This window comes from Homo sapiens, chromosome X (genome assembly GCF_000001405.40).
Source record: "Homo sapiens chromosome X, GRCh38.p14 Primary Assembly".
In the NCBI taxonomy this organism is placed as follows: Eukaryota; Metazoa; Chordata; class Mammalia; order Primates; family Hominidae; genus Homo; species Homo sapiens.
The window spans coordinates 3,590,712-3,611,201 of NC_000023.11; the positions used below are offsets into that span (position 1 = coordinate 3,590,712).

The 20,490-nt window shown below is 42.7% G+C and overlaps 1 protein-coding gene and 1 pseudogene across 1 annotated transcript in view, besides 1 other annotated feature; both read right to left on the bottom strand.

Moving 5' to 3' along the window:
• Nucleotides 955-1,886: an enhancer, noted in NCBI's record as "OCT4-NANOG-H3K27ac-H3K4me1 hESC enhancer chrX:3509707-3510638 (GRCh37/hg19 assembly coordinates)". NCBI's record gives its function as "activates a minimal SCP1, AML or CMV promoter by ChIP-STARR-seq in naive H9 embryonic stem cells {active_cell/tissue: H9 hESC(naive)}" and the evidence as "EXISTENCE:reporter gene assay evidence [ECO:0000049][PMID:30033119]".
• Nucleotides 13,629-20,490, bottom strand: part of PRKX (protein kinase cAMP-dependent X-linked catalytic subunit) — a 109,310-nt gene continuing 102,448 nt past the window's right edge. The window contains exon 9 of the mRNA NM_005044.5: nucleotides 13,629-18,234. The gene's annotated coding sequence lies outside the window, so the exon portion shown is untranslated. The remainder of the gene's footprint in view (nucleotides 18,235-20,490) is intronic.
• On the bottom strand, nucleotides 16,547-16,654 carry RNU6-146P (RNA, U6 small nuclear 146, pseudogene; annotated as a pseudogene).

The window sequence follows — 20,490 nt, forward strand, 5'->3', positions numbered from 1 at the left end:
AAAAAAAAAAAATCAAGAATTTTGTGAGCTAGTTGTTAAACTGCTGGCAGCTTGAAATCAATTATGGGAAGAGTTAGCATTTACACCACAGCACTGGCAAACGCTACAAATCGGGGCTTTACTTTACCCAGAGGAAGTGGCTCACCAGCACACCACTCTTCTCCGTCTCCATTTTTGTTTTTTGTTTTTTTTGAGGCAGGGTCTTGCTCTGTCACCCACACAGATACATCCAGATGGCCTGAAGCAACTGAAGAATCACAAAAGAAGTGAAAATGGGCCGGGCGCAGTGGCTCTCGCCTGTAATCCCAGCACTTTGGGAGGCGGAGGCAGGCGGATCACGAGGTCAGGAGATCAAGACCATCCTGGCTAACGCGGTGAAACCCCGTCTCTACTAAAAATACAAAAAAAATTAGCTGGGCGTGGTGGCGGGCCCCTGTAGTCCCAGCTACTCGGGAGGCTGAGGCAGGAGAATGGCATGAACCCGGGAGGCCGAGCTTGCAGTGAGCCGAGATTGTGCCACTGCACTCCAGCCTGGGCAACAGAGTGAGACTCCGTCTCGACAAAAAAAAAAAAAAGAAAAAAGAAAAAAGAAGTGAAAATGTCTGGTTCCTGCCTTAACTGATGACATTACCTTGAGAAATTCCTTCTCCTGGATCAGAAGCTCCCCCACTGAGCACCTTGTGACCCCCGCCTCTGCCCGCCAGAGAACAACCCCCTTTGACTGTAATTTTCCACTACCTACCCAAATCCTATAAAACGGCCCCATCCCATCTCCCTTCGCTGACTCTCTTTTTGGACTCAGCCCGCCTGCACCCAGGTGATTAAAAAGCTTTATTGCTCACACAAAGCCTGTTTGGTGGTCTCTTCACACAGACGCGTGTGACAGAGTGCAGTGGTGCAATCATAGCTCACTGCAGCCTTGACCTCCTGGGCTCAAGCAGTCCTCCTACCTCAGCCTCCAAAGTAGCTGGGGCCACAGGTGCACACCACCACCACACTCAACTAATTTTATTTTATTTTTTGTAGAGACGGGGTCTTGCTATGTTGCCCAGGCTGGTCTTGAACTCCTAGGCTGAAGTGATCCCCCTGCCTTGGCCTGCTGAAGTGCTGGGATTACAGGCGTGAGCCACTGTGTCCGCCACAACAGAGTTTTCCATTCTCTTAATGTTTTGTTGTTTGTTTGTTTGTTTGTTTTTGTTTTAACCATACAGGAGACTTAATCTCTTAGAGTCTCGAGAGGACAGTGGCAGCCTGATATTTAAGGAGTTCTTTTCGTCTGGCCAGCCACTGGCTGGTTTTTAAGGCGTGATGATGATAGGGCTCCAATGAGTGGAGGAACACCAGGGTTCTTGGTCCTCGCGCTGGTTTTGATAAAACGACATGGACACATGTGGAGTGGTTTAAAGGAGTGGAGAGTTTAATAGGCAAGAAAGAAGGGAGAAGAAAGAAGCTCCCCTGTACAGAGACAGAGGCAGGGGGCTCCAAAGGCGAGAGGGGAGGCCCCTCCTGCAGGGGATACTGGCCAGTTACATGAGGAGGCTGGAGTAGGCGATCTGATTTGCATAGGGCTTAGGGAATTGGTTTGACCAGGCATGTCGTTTAGGTAGCTGCGAAAAAAAACTGGCCTTCCCACCCTAGCCTTTTAATATGCAAATGTGGGGCGCCATGATGTTCTACACACGTGGGGATATGTGTGGGCAGCCGAGCTGCCAGGCACATATTGGGCAAGGGCAAGAAGAAGAGGGAGGGAATCGCCATGTTTGGATGGACCCAGTTTCTAATCGCCTGTATTTGCATATCAAAGGTTGCCCGCCGAGTCTAAGAGCCGGGGCTTTCCTGATAGACAAGAAAGGTTTCTGGAGCTGCTTTAAAAGAAACGAAAACTTTCCAAGGACCCCTTTTCCTCTCTATCTGCCTAAAATAATTTCTTAATAACTCCTACCACAATGAGAATGCCAGTGGTAGTGGAAATAGATCAAAAAGCAAACGTGGGGCAAAAGTCCGGGATGCCTGTAGGAAAACTCTGAGGTACTAGAGAGTTCTGGAAAAAAGCAGATTTCCAGCAGCCTAAATGTACATTTTAGTAGAAAAAATGCCTTTCACTAGCAACTTTCACTTAATACAAAGCAGAAGGGTAAACTTAGGAACAAAAATAATTCTCAACATAGAAATAAAATGCACTGGGCCAGGCACGGTGGCTCATGCCTGTTATCCCAGCACTTTGGGAGGCCGAGGCGGGTGGATCACCTGAGGTAGGGAGTTCGAGACCAGCCTGGCCAACATGGGGAAACCCCGTCTCTACTAAAAATACAAATATCAGCCGGGTGCGGTCGCGGGCACCTGTAATCCCAGCTACTTGGGAGGCTGAGTAACGAGAATCGCTTGAACCCGGGAGGCGGACGTTGTAGTGAGTCAAGATCCCGCCACTGCACTCCTGCCTGGGCGACAAGAGCGAGACTCCATTTCAAAAAAAAAAAAGAAATAAAATGCACTGTAATCTGTTATTCAATATAATTGGCAAAAGAGACAATAAACTACTTCAGAACATCTACTAATTTACTTCCAAATGTTACAGAAATATGGCAGGTCCACATCTACTAGCGAATATTCACGTTACAGACTATAAAACAAAACACAAAATGGGCACTCATAACAAATAAAAGTTTTATTTGGCATTAATAACCTAACATGACGTGGGAACACTTTACTATGTGATTAGTTGCAAAGTTCAGAAGTTGGAGGAATGGGGAAAGATGGTTTATAACAATTTTTTTTTTTTTTTTGAGACGGAGTCTCGCTCTTATCACCCAGGCTGGAGTGCAGTGGCGTGATCTGGGCTCACTGCAACCTCCGCCTCCCAGGTTCAAGTGATTCTCCTGCTTCAGCCTCCCGAGTAGCTGGGATTACAGGTACCCGCCACCACACCTGGCTAATTTTTGTATTTTTAGTAGAGATGGAGTTTCACCATGTTGGCCAGGCTGGTCTCGAACTGCTGACCTTAGGTGATCCGCCTGCCTCGGCCTCCCAAAGTGCTAGGATTACAGGTGAGAGCCACCGCGCCCGGCCTGTAACAATTTACTTAGAACTTTTCCTTTGAAGTTGACTACTTGACTACTTGAATGCAAGTATTTCAAACAAAAAGGAGTTAAATATCACATTTGCTACGCATGCAATTTAGAGATAGCTTCACAGATGGTGGGAACGTACCTTAGTATCGCCATTATGGAAAACAATGTGGAAGTTCCTCAAAAAACTACAAACAGAACTAGCATATGGCCCAGCAATCCCACGACTAGGTATTTAGAGATATCTGCACCCCCTGCCCCATGTTCACTGCAGCCCTATTCACAGTAGCCAAGACATGGAGTCCACCTAAGTGTCCATCGATGGATGACTGGGTAAAGAAAATATGGTATCTATATATGACAGACTACTATTCAGCCTTAACAAGGGGAAATTTTCTGTCATTTTGACAACTTGGAGGAAGCTAGAGGGCATTATGCTAAGTGAAATAAGCCAGACAGAGGAAGATAAATAGTGCATGATCTCACTTATAGGTGGAATCTACAAATGTCAAATTTGGCTAGGTCAGGTGGCTCATACCTGTAATCCCAGCAGTTTGGGAGGCCAAGGCAAGCAGATCTCTTGAGCCCAGGAGTTGGAGACCAGCCTGGACAACATGGTGAAACCCCATCTCTACAAAAAATACAAAAATTAGCCAGGTGTGGTGGCATATGCCTGTAGTCCCAGCTACTCAGGAGGCTGAGGCAGGAGAATCGCTTGGGCCTGAGAGGCCAAGGCTGCAGGGAGCCGTGATTGCACCACTGCACTCCAGCCTGGGTGACAAAGCAAGACCCTGTCTCAAAGGAAAAAAAAATGGAAATTGGTAATATCTGATCATAATTGAATTGTGTAAATCCTTTAATCCAGCAATTCCTTTTGTAGAAACTGTTCCTACAAACATACCCACCGACACAAATATGCAAACATACACATACGTGTGCACCGATTATTTTATTATTTATTTTTTGAGGTGGAGTCTCCCTCTTTTACCCAGGCTGGAGTGCAGTTGCATGATCTCGGCTCACTGCAACCTCTGCTTCCCAGGTTCAAGCGATTCTCCTCCCTCAGCCTCCTGAGTAGCTGGAGTTACAGGTGCCTGCCACCATGCCAGGCTAATTTTTGTATTTTTAGTAGGGATGGGGTTTCACCATGTTGGCCAGCTGGTCTCAAACTTCTGACCTCAGGTGATCCGCCCACCTTGGCCTCCCAAAGTGCTGGGATTACAGGCGTGAGCCATGGTGCCCGGCCCCCGATTATTTTATGTAGTATTGTTTGTAATGTAAAAATGGCAAACCACTTAATTCTCTCTTCCTCAGGCAACTGGACAAATTACGGTGCACCTTATCCATAAGTAGAATATCACACCATGACTGCAAGTGAAAATACAGCAGCTATGCATGATGATAAGGAGAATCATCACTAATATAGTTATATTATATGATTATGACTAATATGATATTATGACTACTATGATTATGACAATAAACCCAACCAAAGACCAAATTCCTTGCCTGCCTGCAGTTTGCATTCTAGTGGGAAGAATAATAAACAAAATAAATAAGAAAAGGGTACAAACCAGTAGAAAGTGCTCAGTGGTAGAGAGGAAAAAAAAGAAAGTTGGGATAGTGGTAGAGAGTGTTGGAATCAAGTTGAAATTTTAAATAAAGTGCTGGATGAATTGAGAAGATATTTGAGCAAAGAGTTGAAGATGGCGAAGGCGAAAGCTATGCTGGTATCTAGAACAGAGAAAAGGGCCAGTGGAAAGGCCCCGTGGCAGGAGCTTATGGGATGTGTTCTAAATCAGCAAAGAGTCCAGGCATCGGGAGCTGATGCCCTGGAGAGAGACTCAGGGACATTACTGACAGCAGATCATGTAGACCTTTCTATACTGTTGTTATGATGTTATTTTGCCTTCTGAGTGCAACAGAGAGCTACTGGAGGTTTCTGATCAGAAAGGGAGCCCACAGGAATAATTACTGCCCCTATTTGAAGAATGGATCCATTAATACGGAGAACAGCTAAGAAACATGTCCACCACAATGGCCCCAGTAAGAAGCAGAACCTGACCCAGGTCTCTGACTCATAGCTCGAGACACATTCAAGCTCCCCAGACTCTTACTTACAATTCACTACACTGCTCATAGAAATATTTTCCATTTGGTAAAAGACCAAATGTTGACTTGGCGACATTGAGTAGAAATTCTGAGATGAATTCAGAGAAAGGAAAGGTGACCCATCAAAAAAAGTATCCTTCAAATGCCCACTGCAAGAATGAAGATTCCAGAGAGATCTTTACACCTCTTTTCTATTTCTCAGTGCAGTGGCACCTCTGCAGTGCCAGTTGATCTTGGCAGCCATCTGGTTGGATAAACTTGTCTGCAGTTTTTCTACCCGGTGGCTCTAATCCCATCCAAGTAAAACACTGCAAGAGCTCACATTCTTGGCTTGGCATGTGGGCATGATATGTCATAAATTTCAAAATTCGAGGATGACCCTGTTGATCCAGGATCTTCTTTGGCATGAAGATTAATCTTGCTGTGAAAGCTTAAAGGAAGATCACCATTCGAGTCTTGGTTCTTTCTGTTTTGCTCTGTGTTCATGGCTCCCAAATGGTCCCCAATCTTATTTTTCTAAGTAGTGGCTTTTAACCAGGGGAGATTTTTACCTCCCAGGGGCTTTTGGCAATGTCTGGAGACATTTTTAATTGTCACCACAGGAGTGGGGGCCAAGGGGGATACTGGTATCTAGGGAGTAGAGGCCAAAGATGTCTATCAACATCCTATAATGTATAGAATAGCACCAACCACAGAGAATCATCCAGCCTCAGATGTCAGTAGTGCTCAGTTAGAGAAACCCTGGGCTTTTGCATGAGAAACTCTATCTAACAATGTATCATCTATCCTTATCAACCTATTATCTATCATCTGTCTATTCATCTGTATCTATCTATCTATCCATCCATCCATCCATCCACATCCACATCCAAATCCACATCCACATATAACTCCTGGGCTCAAGCAATCTTCCTACCTCAGCCTCCTGAGTAGTTAGGACTACAGGCATGCACCACAACGTCCAGCTAATTTTTTCATTTTCTGTAGAGACAGGGTCTTACTAGGTTGCCTAGCTCAAGTTTTATAAATTGTAATGGAATTGTGAAGCCCATATAACAATGACCAAAGTAGATACTGATAAAGAGAACTCTACACATGATTAAGTGGTTTTATTTCTGGGATATGTTTAAGACTTATTTTCATTGTCACAAATGCTGTAACATTTACAATATGAAACATGACAATATTAACATATTATAATATTAAATTTTTTTTAAATAAACCATTTAAAATATTGACTAATTCAAATTTGAAAGGCTAACCAAACCCCTCAAAAAGATATAAATTTTTAAAAACTGAGCCATCAAAGGCCGGGTGCGGTGGCTCACGCCTGTAATCCCAGCACTTTGGGAGGCCGAGGCAGGCGGATCACGAGGTTAGGAGATTGAGACCATCCTGGCTAACACGGTGAAACCCCGTCTCTCCTAAAAATACAAAAAAATTAGCCGGGCGTGGTGGCGGGCGCCTGTAGTCCCAGCTACTCGGGAGGCTGAGGCAGGAAAATGGCGTGAACCTGGGAGGCGGAGCTTGCAGTGAGCCAAGATCGCGCCACTGCACTCCAGCCTGGGCAACAAAGCGAGACTCTGTCTCAAAAAAAAAAAAAAAAAAAAAAAACAAAAAAAACACTGAGCCATCAAAATTCATTCCGCCTGTCTAGAAAGAGTACATCTTATTACTATCTTTGGAGCCTAGAATGAGGATGATCTGTCATCACTTAAAGAACACATTTAAAGAGCAGAAAACTAAGCTAAACTTCAGTGAAGATAAAAGGATGGAAAACGTTAGGCCAAATCAGGTCAAGAGTAAGAAAATAAAGATATGGGATCAAGATACAGGCAAATGGTTAAAATGGCAGGTTCTCCTACATTTTCTGTGAACCCTGAAGGAGTCAGTGCTTCAAGGTGGATCCCAAGTCACTCAATGGGACTAAATTCAAAACAGGGTCAAGCGGCCATTTGCTGACAAGAGCTCACACATGTGCTCTAAGTTCCTGGAAAACCCAAACATTCTTACAACTTTGAGACTTTCACAACTGTCAATTCCTATCCATGCAGCCTGAATCAATCAATAGACTGTGATCTGTGTCAACCCATCAGAATTCAACAAGCATCAACTAGTCAGAACTCGGTAAGTGTCAACCAGTTAGAACCCAACAAGTGTCAAACAGTCAGAGCTCATCGGGGGTCGACCCATCAGAACTCAACAAGTGTTGACTCATCAGAACCCAAGTGCCAAACTCATCAGAACTCAACAAGTGCCCACCAGTCAGAACCCAATAAGTGTCAACCCATCAGAACTCAACAAGTGTCCGCCTATCAGAACTCAATGAGCATCAGCCCATGAGAGTCCAACAAGTGTCAAACAGTCAGAACTCAATGAGCATCAACCAGTTAGATAGAACCCAGTGAATACCAACCCATCAGAACTCAACAAGCACCAACTAATCAGAACTCAACAAGTGTCAACCAGTCAGAACTAAACAAGCATCAACCAGTCAGAATTCAACAAGCATAAACCCATCAGGACCCAACAAGTGTCAACCAGTCTGAACTCAACAAGCATCAACCCCTCAGAATCCAATGAGTGTCAACCAGTCAGAACTCAACAAGCAGCAACCAATCAGAACTAAACAAGTTTGCATTCCTCAGTTGCCTAGCAGACCAGTGGGAACCTTGGGCAGGAACTCTACTAAAAAAAAAAAAAAAAAGAAAGAAAGAAAGAAAAAACCCTCTCTTTGCTCTCCAGAACTGTATCTCTCTAGTTTGCAAACTATTCCCTGGAATAGTTTCTCTTGCCATTTTTAAAAGAAAACCCTTTTCAGTACATTTTGTTGACACTTTGTTACTGAGACAAGATGAATTCATAAGCCCACAAAAACTAAAACTCTGATAAGAAATAGTTAAGAGTTAGACACATGCAATTCCACCAACATTTCTTTCCCCTTGGAAAAGAGAACACACAAACCTATCCAGAACTCCAACGTCCACCCAGATCTTCCATGAGAGTTGGAAGTCTCTCAAATGGACTGGCTACAGAGTCATCGGCCGCCAGAAGCTTACACAGATATTCCACTGCCGTTAGGAAAAGAGAATCCATCCAACTGGCATCGCAAACTAGCTCATAAAAAGTAATGGCAACCTGTAATATCAACGGCACTTTGGGCCCAGCAGTTGTTTTTAAAAAAAAAAAAAAAAAAAAGACCTAAGAAGTTGGACCAACTAGTTGTCAATGTACAAATTTACAAAGTCTAGAAACAGGGGCCGGAGAAAAGAAAATCATACTCACATAATGCCAGAATACTATTATTCTAATAAATGTACTGCAAAATGCATATCTTAGCCAGAAAGCTGCTGTGTGCCATATTAAACAATGGAAATGAAATGGTTTTGAGTTTTTAATTCACAGATGTCATGAGAAAGCAAGCAACAAGTTTCCTCTCAAGACTAGCTGGCATTTGCTCCCTTGTGAAATCACCAATATTGAGTCCCGTTTTAATGTGGAAAAGCAGAGAGATACGGAGTGCAGAGCTGTCACTTTTTTTTAATAGAAAAGTGCTTTTCAAACACTAAGCAAGACCCAAGAAAGGACCATGGATTCAGTTTTGCAGGTCTCTACTCGTATTCAAAATAATTTGAAATGAAACAGTGCTCTGTGTAACCATGATTAATAAATTCATATCTGATAACCCTGTTTCTACACTATTAATATTGTTAAGTTTGGATTGTCTTGTTCAGCTGTAGTTTTAGGGGCGTGTGTGCGTTTGCATGTATGTGAGTCCGGATGGTTCTGTAAAATATGCACAATATATTTCTCATTGTGGCCACAGTAAAGTTATGAAAAATAGGAGCTTGGAGAATGTCTTGTTAAGCACCCATTATTTTAAAGGTTATATTCTTGAAAGAAGCAGAAGTTTCCCATGTTGGATTGTTACCAGATACTTTTCTTAGAAAAAAGGTAGAGTGGGGTTGGGTGGGAAAAAGAAAAATCCCAAGAAAAAAGAAAAGGCATCTAAACATCTGTCCACAGTGAAATGGATACTTCTACTGTATCCTGTACTGACTACCGCAGCTGACTTTCACAAATAACGAATGATGTACCTTCTCCAGGGCCAGCTTTTTCCAGCTCTAGATGTTCAGGCATTCTGGTCATTATTCATCAGTTCAATTAAAAACAAGCCCAGTGTAAAATAACAAGAACTCTGAACTCTGTAGACCAAATTACCTTTCTTCATTCCTCACTTACTGGAATGACATCATTTTTTAAACTTTGCCTTTTGTAGATTTTTTTTTTTCCTTTTTTCAAGGCACTCATTTTAAAACGGCCTCCGCACAATTCCTGATTCATTATGAATTGTTTTTCAGCCAGTGGGTTTCCGAGACATTGCCCCCAAGGGGATTTTAAAAGCTGAGTATGCAGCCGGCTCAAAGCCAGACATTTATAACTAGACATGAAAGCATGAATCTATTCTCCGTGATGTCCTTGAGAACTAAAAATGTTTCAGATGAAAGTTAAGACCCAGGTGTGCAGACCTGTGTCTTCTCTGATTTGTGGAGTAGGGGGTGGTTGACGGTGGTTCCCAGGGACTGAGAAGAAGGGGGGACAATAGGGACTTGCTGTTTGATGGGTGTAAAATAAAAGACAGAGCTCATGGGGAACAATGTGGATTAAACACGTAAAAATTTAACAGGGTAGATGTCATGTTTTGGTTTTTATCAGAATTTTAACAATTGAATTGTAGCTTTACATGTGTAGAAAATGGTCTCTTTCATGGACTTCTCAAAGGTAGCTTGCCTAGTAAAATAAATTTGCAAGTCCAGACATGGTGGCTCGTGAGAGCCTGTAATCCCAACACTTTGGGAGGCTGAGGCAGAAGGATTACTCAAGCCCAGGAGTTTGAGACCAACCTGGGCAACATAGCAAGATCCTGCCTCTACAAAAAAATGTAAACATTAGTTGGGCATGGCGGGGGTGCATCTGTAGTCCCAGCTACTTTGGAGGCTGAGGTGGGAGGATGGCTTGAGCCTGGGAGGTCGAGGCTGCAGTGAGCTGTGATCGTGCCATTGCACTCCAGCCTTGACAACAGAATGAGACCCTGTCTCAACAAAAATAATATAATAAAATAAATTTGCAACAGATGAATGGATAAAGAAAATATGGCAGCATATATATGCCATGGAATACTATTCAGCCATTAATAAAGGATGAAATCCTGTCATTCTCATCAACAAGGATGAAACTGGAGGACATTATGTTACGTGAAATAAGCAGAACTGGAAAGGCAAATGTCACAGGTTCTCTCACATGGGAACTAAAAGTAGCTCTTACAAAAATAAAAAGTAGAACAGAGGATACTAGAGGCTGGGAAGGGTGGGGGGAGGAGGGGACAGAGCTTTTTTTTTTTTTTTTTGAGACGGAGTCTCGTTCTGTCGTCCAGGTTGGAGTGCAATGGCACGATCTCGGCTCACTGCAAGCTCCGCCTCCTGGGTTCAAGAAATCCTCCTGCCTCAGCCTCCTGAGTAGCTGGGATTACAGGCGCATGCCACCATTCCCAGCTAATTTTCGTATTTTTAGTAGAGACAGGGTTTCACCATGTTGGTCAAGCTGGTCTCAAACTCTTGATCTTATGATCCATCCACCTCAGCCTCCCAAAGTGCTGGGATTACAGGCACGAGCCACCGTGTCCGGCCGAGTTTTCTTAAAGGATACAAAATTACAGCTAGACAGGAGGAATACCTTCTGGTGTTCTATAGCCCTGTAGGACGACTGTAGTTAACAATAATATACAGTTCCAAATCTAGGATATTGAATGTTCCCAACACAAAGAAATGATGCCTGATTGAGATGCCTGACGGATTTGCTAATTACCATGATCTGATCACTGTACATTACATTTACTCAAACATTGGTATGTACCCCAAAAATATGTACAAGTATTATTTGTCAATAAAAATGTAAATTAAAATTTTTTTTAAAAAAATTTGATCCACAGAAGGGTTGATGGACTAGTTTTAGTACATCATGGTTTTCTGCCTTATAACAAAACATCGAATTTCCAGTTCCCTCATCAATATACTCATGGGAGGTCTTCAGCATTTGATGGTTTTAACTGGCATCCAATATTTTTGTCAGAAAATACAGAATGCTGTTCTTTAATAAATGTCTAAGTATTTATATAAAATAAATATATAAAAATTCTATACATTATACTAAACATATAAATATATATTATATAAATCATATTATATATACATTATATATATATTATACACCTATACTATATATTATAGTATACTTATTATGTATAATATGTAGATATATTAAAGTCCTGTATATGAATATAGTACATGCATATATTCATATACAGCACTTTAATATATAGTACTTTAATATATATTGTGTATATATTGTATGTTAATGTAACATATTCATATATTGTATATATTAAATTTAATATACATGTATTGCATAAATACATTAAAAATATATATTAACATAAATTATATTAATGTATTTATTACATTAATATGTAATAAATATACATTAATCTATTTACATATTATAGTCATATATTTATTCTGTTATGCTTATGTAACACATATTTATTATTGAAGTGTTGTTTAGCGCCTTGGTGTGAGCAGGAGCAGATGGAATGGAAACCTTAGCTCTGTGATTTTGTTTTCTGCTGAGTTCTCGTGTCAACAGCTTTGTCTTTTAGCAGTGGTTAGAGTGGGCAGGTGTCCCACGCGTTGCAGTATTTGAAGGATTGAAGGATAACTTTGTTGCACACACATGTAACAGTGTGCATGTCACTGCCCACAGAAAACGGGTGCTCCCCATACTGCAGTTCCTCACACCTGCAGTCCCAGCGCTTTGCAGGGCCAAGGTGGGAGGATTGCTTGAGGCCAGGAGTTTGAGATCAGCCCGGGCAACATACGGAGACCTCATCTCTACAAAATAAAAATAAAAAATAAATTAATTGGGTGTGGTGGCGCACACCTGTAGTCCCAGCTACTCAGGAGGCTGAGGTGGGAGGATCGCTTGAGAGAAGGACTTCGAGGCTGCAGTGAGCTGCGATTGCACCAGGGTACTCCAGCCTGGGCAACAGAGGGAGACTCTGCCGCAAAACAAAGCAAAACAAAACAGAACAAAAAACTCCAGCAATTCCTGTCCATCTCTGCAAAGCGATACCCGAGACAGCCTCTTGTTAAGATGAGGGGGTCCACCTAACTATGATTTTCCTTCATACCCTCGGAAGAAGGTTATCTGATCCTTTCAATAAGTATACAAGATGAGCCTGACTCCTAGGAAAGTCAGAGAGCTCCAACAGGGTGTGGCTAAATATTAATACATATCTATGACACATAACTGACACAACCCTGGACAATCTCTAGCGATCTTACCCCAAAGTACAAAGCATGTTTGTTCTGCTGAAGGGGTTCAAGACCCCTCCCCTAGCCTTCCAACACACACACACTCCGTATCCTTTCCCAAATCAGACTGTCACTCACCAAGAACCTACGCTACAGAAACTCCCGAGTGGTCCCTGAACCAGACCCTGAACAGCCATACCAGCCCACGGGAAGACTCCCTTCCCCAGGGAATTCCAAGATGGGACCAGGGACAGCTTGGTCATAAGTAAACAGGCCTGTGTTTGACCCTTAGCTGGGTGTAATATTTCAGCCTCTGCTAATAGCAAGTGCTATGTGAGTGTCAAAAATTACAAATCAATTGATTTTACAATGTACGAAGTCAGGATGTTTTTAGCAAGCTGCGAATGTCACTCAGAAACCTGGGTGTCAAATATGTGAGTAATAAGAGTAAGCAATAAAATATTTTATTCATTCATGATGATGAGGGCAGCACATTTTTAACAACCTGTGAAGCCAATCTGCAAAGTCAACATCACACTACAACAGGAATCAGCAAATGCTGGCCCTTGGACTAAATCCGGCCCTCTGATTATTTTTGTCAATAAAACCTCACTGGAGCACAGCCATGCCCACTTGTTTACGTATTGTCTATGGGGCTTTTTGATTTTTGTTTTTTTAAGAGTCAGGTTCTTGTTCTGTCACCCAGGCTGGAGGGCATTGGCACAATTACAGCTCAAAGCAGGCTCAAACTCCTGGGCTCAAGTGACCCTCCCACCTCAGCCTCCTGAGCAATCCCAGGCTCGTGCTACCACTACTGACAGATTTTTCTAATTTTTGTAGAGATCGGGTCTTGCTACGTTGCAGGCTGGTCTGAAACTCCTGGGCTCAAGCGATCCTCCTGCCTTGGTCTCCCAAAGCACTGGAATTACAAGCGTGCACCTCCGTGCCTAATTATAGCAGCTTTTTTGCACTCTGTGCAACAGAGACTGTGTGTCCCACAATGCAGAAAATATCTGCCATGTGGCCCCTACAGATAATTGCCCATCCCTCGATTAGACCAAAGGAGAAAAGCCACAGCTTGTTTGGAGACAGAAGCAGATGAAACTCAGACTTCTGAAAAGATACAAAGTTTTATTAAACAAACCTGGAATCAACAGTATTATTACATAAATTAGACAGCAGTAAAATTTTCCTAGGGCATATGTACAAATCACAGTGATTTCCATTGTGCAACAAACAGACAGGATTAAAAATAGGCACTCCCCTCCCCGACCCCCCATGAGAAGGGGTCACCCCGCGGGGTTCCCAGTTCTGGCTCGCCAAGGGGTGCACAAACCTGCCAAGGCACTCTGCCTGTGTGCGCGGCATCCGGCGGCAGTGACAGGGGCCCCAGAAGCACGTTGGCAACATGGTGAGGCTGCCCAGTGTTCAGCGCAAAGAAAGAATTCAGCTACGACAGTTGAGCAGAGCTCAACAGCCATCTCAGAGCACAAGGACTGTGGAAAGGCTTCAAGTCTCATCTGCTAAAACACAATTGTAATGCCTTTTACATACAGAACAGACGTGTCCACCATGGAAGATCAAACTAAGCCTCAACAGAACTTCCCAACACACGATAATTTACAGAAAACCATGACAGAGCATCCCTGCTATTAGGAAGGGACTGTTCTGCGGGGTGCAAGGCCATAAGGTTTGCAAAGCAAACTTGATTATGAAAAGGCTTGGTGAAAATACAGCCCCTCACCTTCACCAAGACACACACACACACACACACACACACACACACACACACACACACACACCCCGCAAAGAAACTATCCAAATGCATTAAGACACCTGTTCGTGTGCTTTTCTTCTTGCTTTTGTTAAGTGAATCCCATCCGTTTAAGTTAGACTAATTAGAAGGCCTGCTTGCCTCCATCAGCAACAGAAAAACAGTGCATACGACTCCTCCAATGTGTGTAAAATGCATGCTAGGTAGATTGAAGGAAAAACGAGAGGAACCCGGGCACCCCATTTCAAATCTCTACAACTGGAGAAATCAAAGGCTGCAAGGACTGTGTAGACCTGATGCAAAGTTAACTGGCTGCAAAAATACAACCCAAGCCAGTGCTGTCTTGCACCCTGTTCACTCAGTAGCTGGAGCAATGAATGATTGTGACATTCTGGTGGGGTATTTGTGCAGCCTGAGGTGCACCTGGCTACAGAGTGGAGCCTTGGGGTCTTTAACAGTATTAAGCCATAGTTTCACAGTTACAATGGTCCAAAGAATTAGAGGCCATGTAGGTCAAACACAGAAATGGCGAACACATCCCAAACCACTCAACTGTTTAGTTCCACTGGTGATTTTTTTTAATGGACAGTGATTTCAAATGATTTGGTGTTTTTGTTCTTGTTTTTGCTTTTTCTTCAAAGCAAACAAATGATTTGGTCTTTAAGTATGGACAGAAAGAAACAAAACGCTGAATGGGAAATTCAGTAACAAGTGATTGTGCAGTTGTTTGATGGGCATGGAGAGGGAGTGGGGCTGAACTGCATTTTGAGGGGATGAAGCGCGCAATCTTACCCCACTGCTGGGGGGTTTCTGCTTCTTATTCTATCATGCTGACAGCAAATATAATTTGCCCATCGCTGGCTATAGATATGTTTAGGCTAAGCAGGATTTAGACTTCTGTTGCGAAGGAATTAGAAGAATTCAGTAGAGACAGTGTATACTATTTGGTTGTGACTTTATTTCCTTCCTGGCTTTATCAATGCCTATGAAAGCAGGCCGGTGGCATTTCCCTTCAGAAAAACAAGACTTGCCCCAATACACTTCTTCTTGTAACATATCCATGTCCTATTCTCTTAGAGTATTCCAATTTAAGAAAATATTGCCAACTCGTAAAATTACATGAAGCAAAGTAAATTTGTAATGTTTTTCTGATACAAATGTTGTGATTATGGTAATGAATTTTCCTCCACATTTTGCGCAGTGATTGTTTGTCATGATCATCCATACGGACATTCTGCACCGTGATTGTTTCGTGATCATCCATGCGGACATTTCGCACCGTGATTGTTTCGTGATCGTCCATGCGGACATTTTGGAATGCCCACCCGGGTCAGCTATTTGTATTTTTTTTATTTTTATGTTTTGAGACGGAGTCTTGCTCTGTGGCCCAGGCTGGAGTGCAGTGGCACGATCTCGGCTTACTGCAGCCTCTGCCTCCCGGGTTCAAGCGATTCTCCTGCCTCAGCCTCCCGAGTAGCCAGGATTACAGGTGCCCGCCACCACACCTAATTTTTGTATTTTAGTAGAGATGGGGGTTTTGCCATGTTGGCCAGGCTGGTCTCGAACTCCTGACCTCAGGTGATCCACCTGCCTCGGCCTCCCAAAGTGCTGGGATTACAGGCGTGAGCCACCATGCCTGGCCAGGTAAACTATTTTAAAATTATACAGTGATTGCTCCATGTTTATAGCTCATTTTGATTAAATTAACCTCTACATGACATTGGGCCATTTAAACTATGACCCCGCCATGGGCAGTTACCAGGTAGCTTGTGTCACTTCAAATGCTGAAATGTGTGTGATGGTCCAAAGTGGGTTTCACACCATCACACGTTCTTGGAATCGCTTCTAATTTCTCATTTGTTCTGTATGGCTGGAGGCTGATCACGACGTCTGTAAAGAACAAGGTCACCAATGTGCTTGCATATTTCATTTTCCTGCATATCAGTTCACAATTAAGGCATTTCAGGCTTTCCTGATGCTAATTCTCATCTGAGTATGAAATCCTGGATAATAAAACAGACAACCTAAAAATAGGCATATGGACTCATGGATTTATGTACTTTTTAAAGTGTGCTCAAGTGTTTCATTTATGGTTTTATTAATAATTTTTAAAGTAGAATGTTCAATATTATTACTATGATTTATTTTTATAGTCAGCAAACATGAGACTTAAAAGCTTTTCCTTCTAGCTCCACATGTCGGTGCACAGTGTAACCTTTTCTTAAAAAAATATGGAATGCTGCATGAATCTGCAGATCTTCCTCGCGCAGGGGGCCATGCTAATCTCCTCTGTGTCATTCCAATTTTAGTATACCTGCTGCCGAAGTCAGCACCAGTTTCACCTTTTCACATTCACGGTAAAACTGATGGGAAACCGCACGCTAAATGTTTAGGCAGCGATGGCCCTCAACTGTTAATCCCAACAGGATGGTGAGTGAGAAGCACAGGCTGAAAATAGAGTTGTCTAAAACATTTCCACATTTCACCATCTGAACATCATTTTCCACTGAGTTATTAATTGTAAAGAGTTTATTCTGCTGAACCTACTAATTATTCTCACCTACTGAGTTGACCTCCACGTGAAGAAAAGGTCACTGATGAAAAAGGGTGGCTATGTTCTGTTTCTGTAATTTCACTGTTTTAACATCTTTTTTTTTATATAGAGATGGGGTCTCGCTATGCTGCCCAGGTCGGTCTCGAACTCCTAGGCTCAATCTTCCTGCCTCAGCTTCCCAAAGTCCCAGGGTTACAGGAGTGCACCACCGCACCCAGCTTCACTGTCTTTTAAAGCCTTAAGGTGGACGTTCTCTTCAATCCATCTTCAAAAGCACAAAGCCATTGCCTTCTTTTTTTTTTTTTTTTTTTTTGGACAGGGTCTCACTCTGTCACCCAGGCTGGAATGCAGTGGTGTGATCTCGGATCACTGCGGCCTGGACCTCCCCAGGCTCAAGTGATCCTCTCATCTCAGCCTCCTGAGTAGCTGAGACTACACTCACGTGCCACCATGCCCGGCTAATTTTTTTGTATTTTGTAGAGATGAGGTCTCACCACGTTTCCCAGACTGGTCTCCAACTCCTGGGCTCAAGCAATCCACCCACCTCAGCCTCCCAAAGTGCTGGGACTATAGGAACAAGCCACTGCATCCAGCTCAGATGAAATTTTTGAATGTGTCACAGAAGGTTTTTTTAAATACAGTACATTCCTCCAACAACTTCAATGTCATTGTAGATTCTTGGAATAAATTCGCTCCCATATCTTCCCCTCTTTGTTTCTTCTTTTAAAGTCTCAAGTTACCAGGTAAGAAGCACTAAAGATACTGAAGGTAGACCTCCCCATGATATTTTCTTCCCCAAAACTATAAAATGCATGTGAGATGATTTTTTTTAATGCATGCAACATACCCTTCAGATGTTGTCCCCGAGAAGAGATTTTTGAAAAAACAAATTGAAAAATAAAAATTATAGGCTCTGTAAAGTATGAACATTTACATCACTGCACAATTTCTGTGCATCTGCCATAATGACTTCTATATATACACACAGGCATACACACACACACACACACACACACACACACACACACACACACACAATTTGTGGTTATAATCGAACAAGTCCAGTTCAAACTTATAAACTTAAGTCTATGACAAAAACCAAGACATCACAGTAGGAACACAACACTAAAGGATAAGATAAAATCTACAACCAAACAATTTTCAAAACCTTCCTACAGTGTGGAATTCCAGTTGCTTAAATAATGCCAGTTCCATGAATTTCAACTGTGCTCTAATCTATTTCTATACACACAGGTACAGAGAAAAGTGGAGATGTCCTTATGCCGTGAAGAAGACATTTTGCTTCTGGTCTGCTTAGGTGCAGTTCTTTGTTCCAGGCAGATTCCAATCTTCCTGTTTCTAGCATGAAATAGGACAAAAGATTCTGTGAGTTGCTCAGTAACTGGATGAATTTTGTAATCATCATCTCAATGATAATACAAAGGTTTCCTTTCCCTAAGTGATAACAAAGAAAACCTCTCTTTGTAATTCTTTTTGCAAGGATCCATAAGCCTGAATTCTAAAAGGAGAGGCCAATAAAAAGGAAATGAAGAATGTTTTAAAGGTAAGGGGTTTTTTTGGTTTGTTTGTTTGAGACGGAGTCTTGCTCTTGTTGCCCAGGCTGGAGTACAGTGGTGTGATCTCAGCTCACTGCAACCTCCGCCTCCATGTTCAAGTGATTCTCCTACCTCAGCCTCCTGAGTAGCTGGGGTTACAGGTGCCCGCCACCACGCCTGGGTAATTTTTGTATTTTTGGTAGAGATGGGATTTCACCATGTTTGCCAGGCTGGTCTCGAACTCCTGACCTCAGATGATCCATGCGCCTCGGCCTCCCAAGGTGCTGGGATTACAGGCATGAGCCACCTCGCCCAGCCCTGTTTTCATTTTTGAGATGAGGTCTAACTCTGCCATCCAGGCCGGAGTACAGGCACAATCACGGCTCACTGCAGCCTCAACTTTCCAGGCCCAAGCGAGCCTCTCACCTCAGCCTCTAGAATAGCTGTGACAATAGGTATGTATCACTACGCCTGGCTAACTTTTTTATTTTTTGTAGAGATGGGGTCTCACTATGTTGCCCAGGCTTGATCTCAAACTCCTGACCTCAAGTGAGCCTCCCAACTCGGCCTCCCAAAGTGCCGGGATTACAGGTAGGAGCCACCACATCCAGCCTGAAGAATGTTCTATCATACGCTTATCCATAAATAGATAAATGTATCCACCAATAGATGATGAACTGCACAAGAAAAATGGGATCCCCAATTCAACATGCTTCCTCAGAGAACCTTACAGCAAGACAGAAAATATTTTATTACAAAGTAAAATAAAAGACATAGTGAGTCAGTTCTCTTAAATTCCTCCTCCACATTCAGAAAGGCATACAGGGTGATTCAAACAAAGATGAACGGCTACAGCATAGTTTCTAAGCTGCCCTCAAGTGCAGTGATTCATCTGAACTGGTGTCTTATTTACAGGAGAAGATTTGGCTTCATGAAGAAATATCTTCCTGCATAAAATTCCTGCAACTAATCGCTCGTTGCTGAAAATGCCAGGGATGTGTTTGGTGTGCAAATTACTTGATAAAATTACTAAGACGGATTAAAATATTGCATCTGGGCCAGGCACAGTGGCTCATGCCTGTAATCCCAGCACTTTGGGAGGCCGAGGTGGGCAGATTGCCTGAGTTCAGGAGTTCAAGACCAGCCTGGCCAACATGGCAAAACCCATCTCTACTAAAAATACAAAACAATTAGCCTGGTGTGGTGGCAGGCACCTGTAATCCCAGCTACTCGGGAGGCTGAGGCAGGAGAATCACTTGAACCCAGGAGGCGGAGGTTGCAGTGAGCTGAGATCGCACCACTGCAATCCAGCCTGGGCAACCGAGCGAGACTCTGTCTCAAAAAGAAAAAAAAATTCATTAAACAGAGCCCCAACCACTAGCCAAACTATATTAAAAATGATTCCACTTAGCAAAAATAATACTTACTTACACATACTTTCTCAACAATGCATACCAGATGGAGAAAGGTTATTCCTACGTGTGGAATCTTTTTCAGGGAAAGTAGGGGCAGCTGGGGACAGGATGTAATGAAATTGTTCACTGATTATATGACAAAAATCCATCAAATGGAAGCTTTTTTGTTCTTTAAGTAAATTTTACAATTGAGGGGTCTCTATTAGAGAAAGGTTCTATTTTTGTGGCTTATCAACTAGGGGTCCTTCATACTAAAGCAAACCAAGTCTTTACATCATTTTAAAGATTTCCTGGAGAGACACAATTTGTAAGATGTTATGGGCGAGTCAGCTAAAATGTAAGCCCCAGAGTAGAGCAGAGAAACAAAAAGAAGTAAACACATTCAGGAACATCTTATGATTTTTAAAACCCGCAACTGGATTTCATGAGCGTTTATGAAGTTGGTAAAGTTACACGCTCTCATGTTAATACAAACCAGTCACCACTGTGAAAGCGTTCATCACACACTGAGAGGTGAAGCCATGCCATGGAGACAGGTTATCTTCTCGAGGTCATAGCCACCTATTCCTCTATCATTTTGTTGTCTATTATTTCAATTTGTATCCAGCTTTCCTCTTGGTACATCCATGTAAACACCTGCCCAG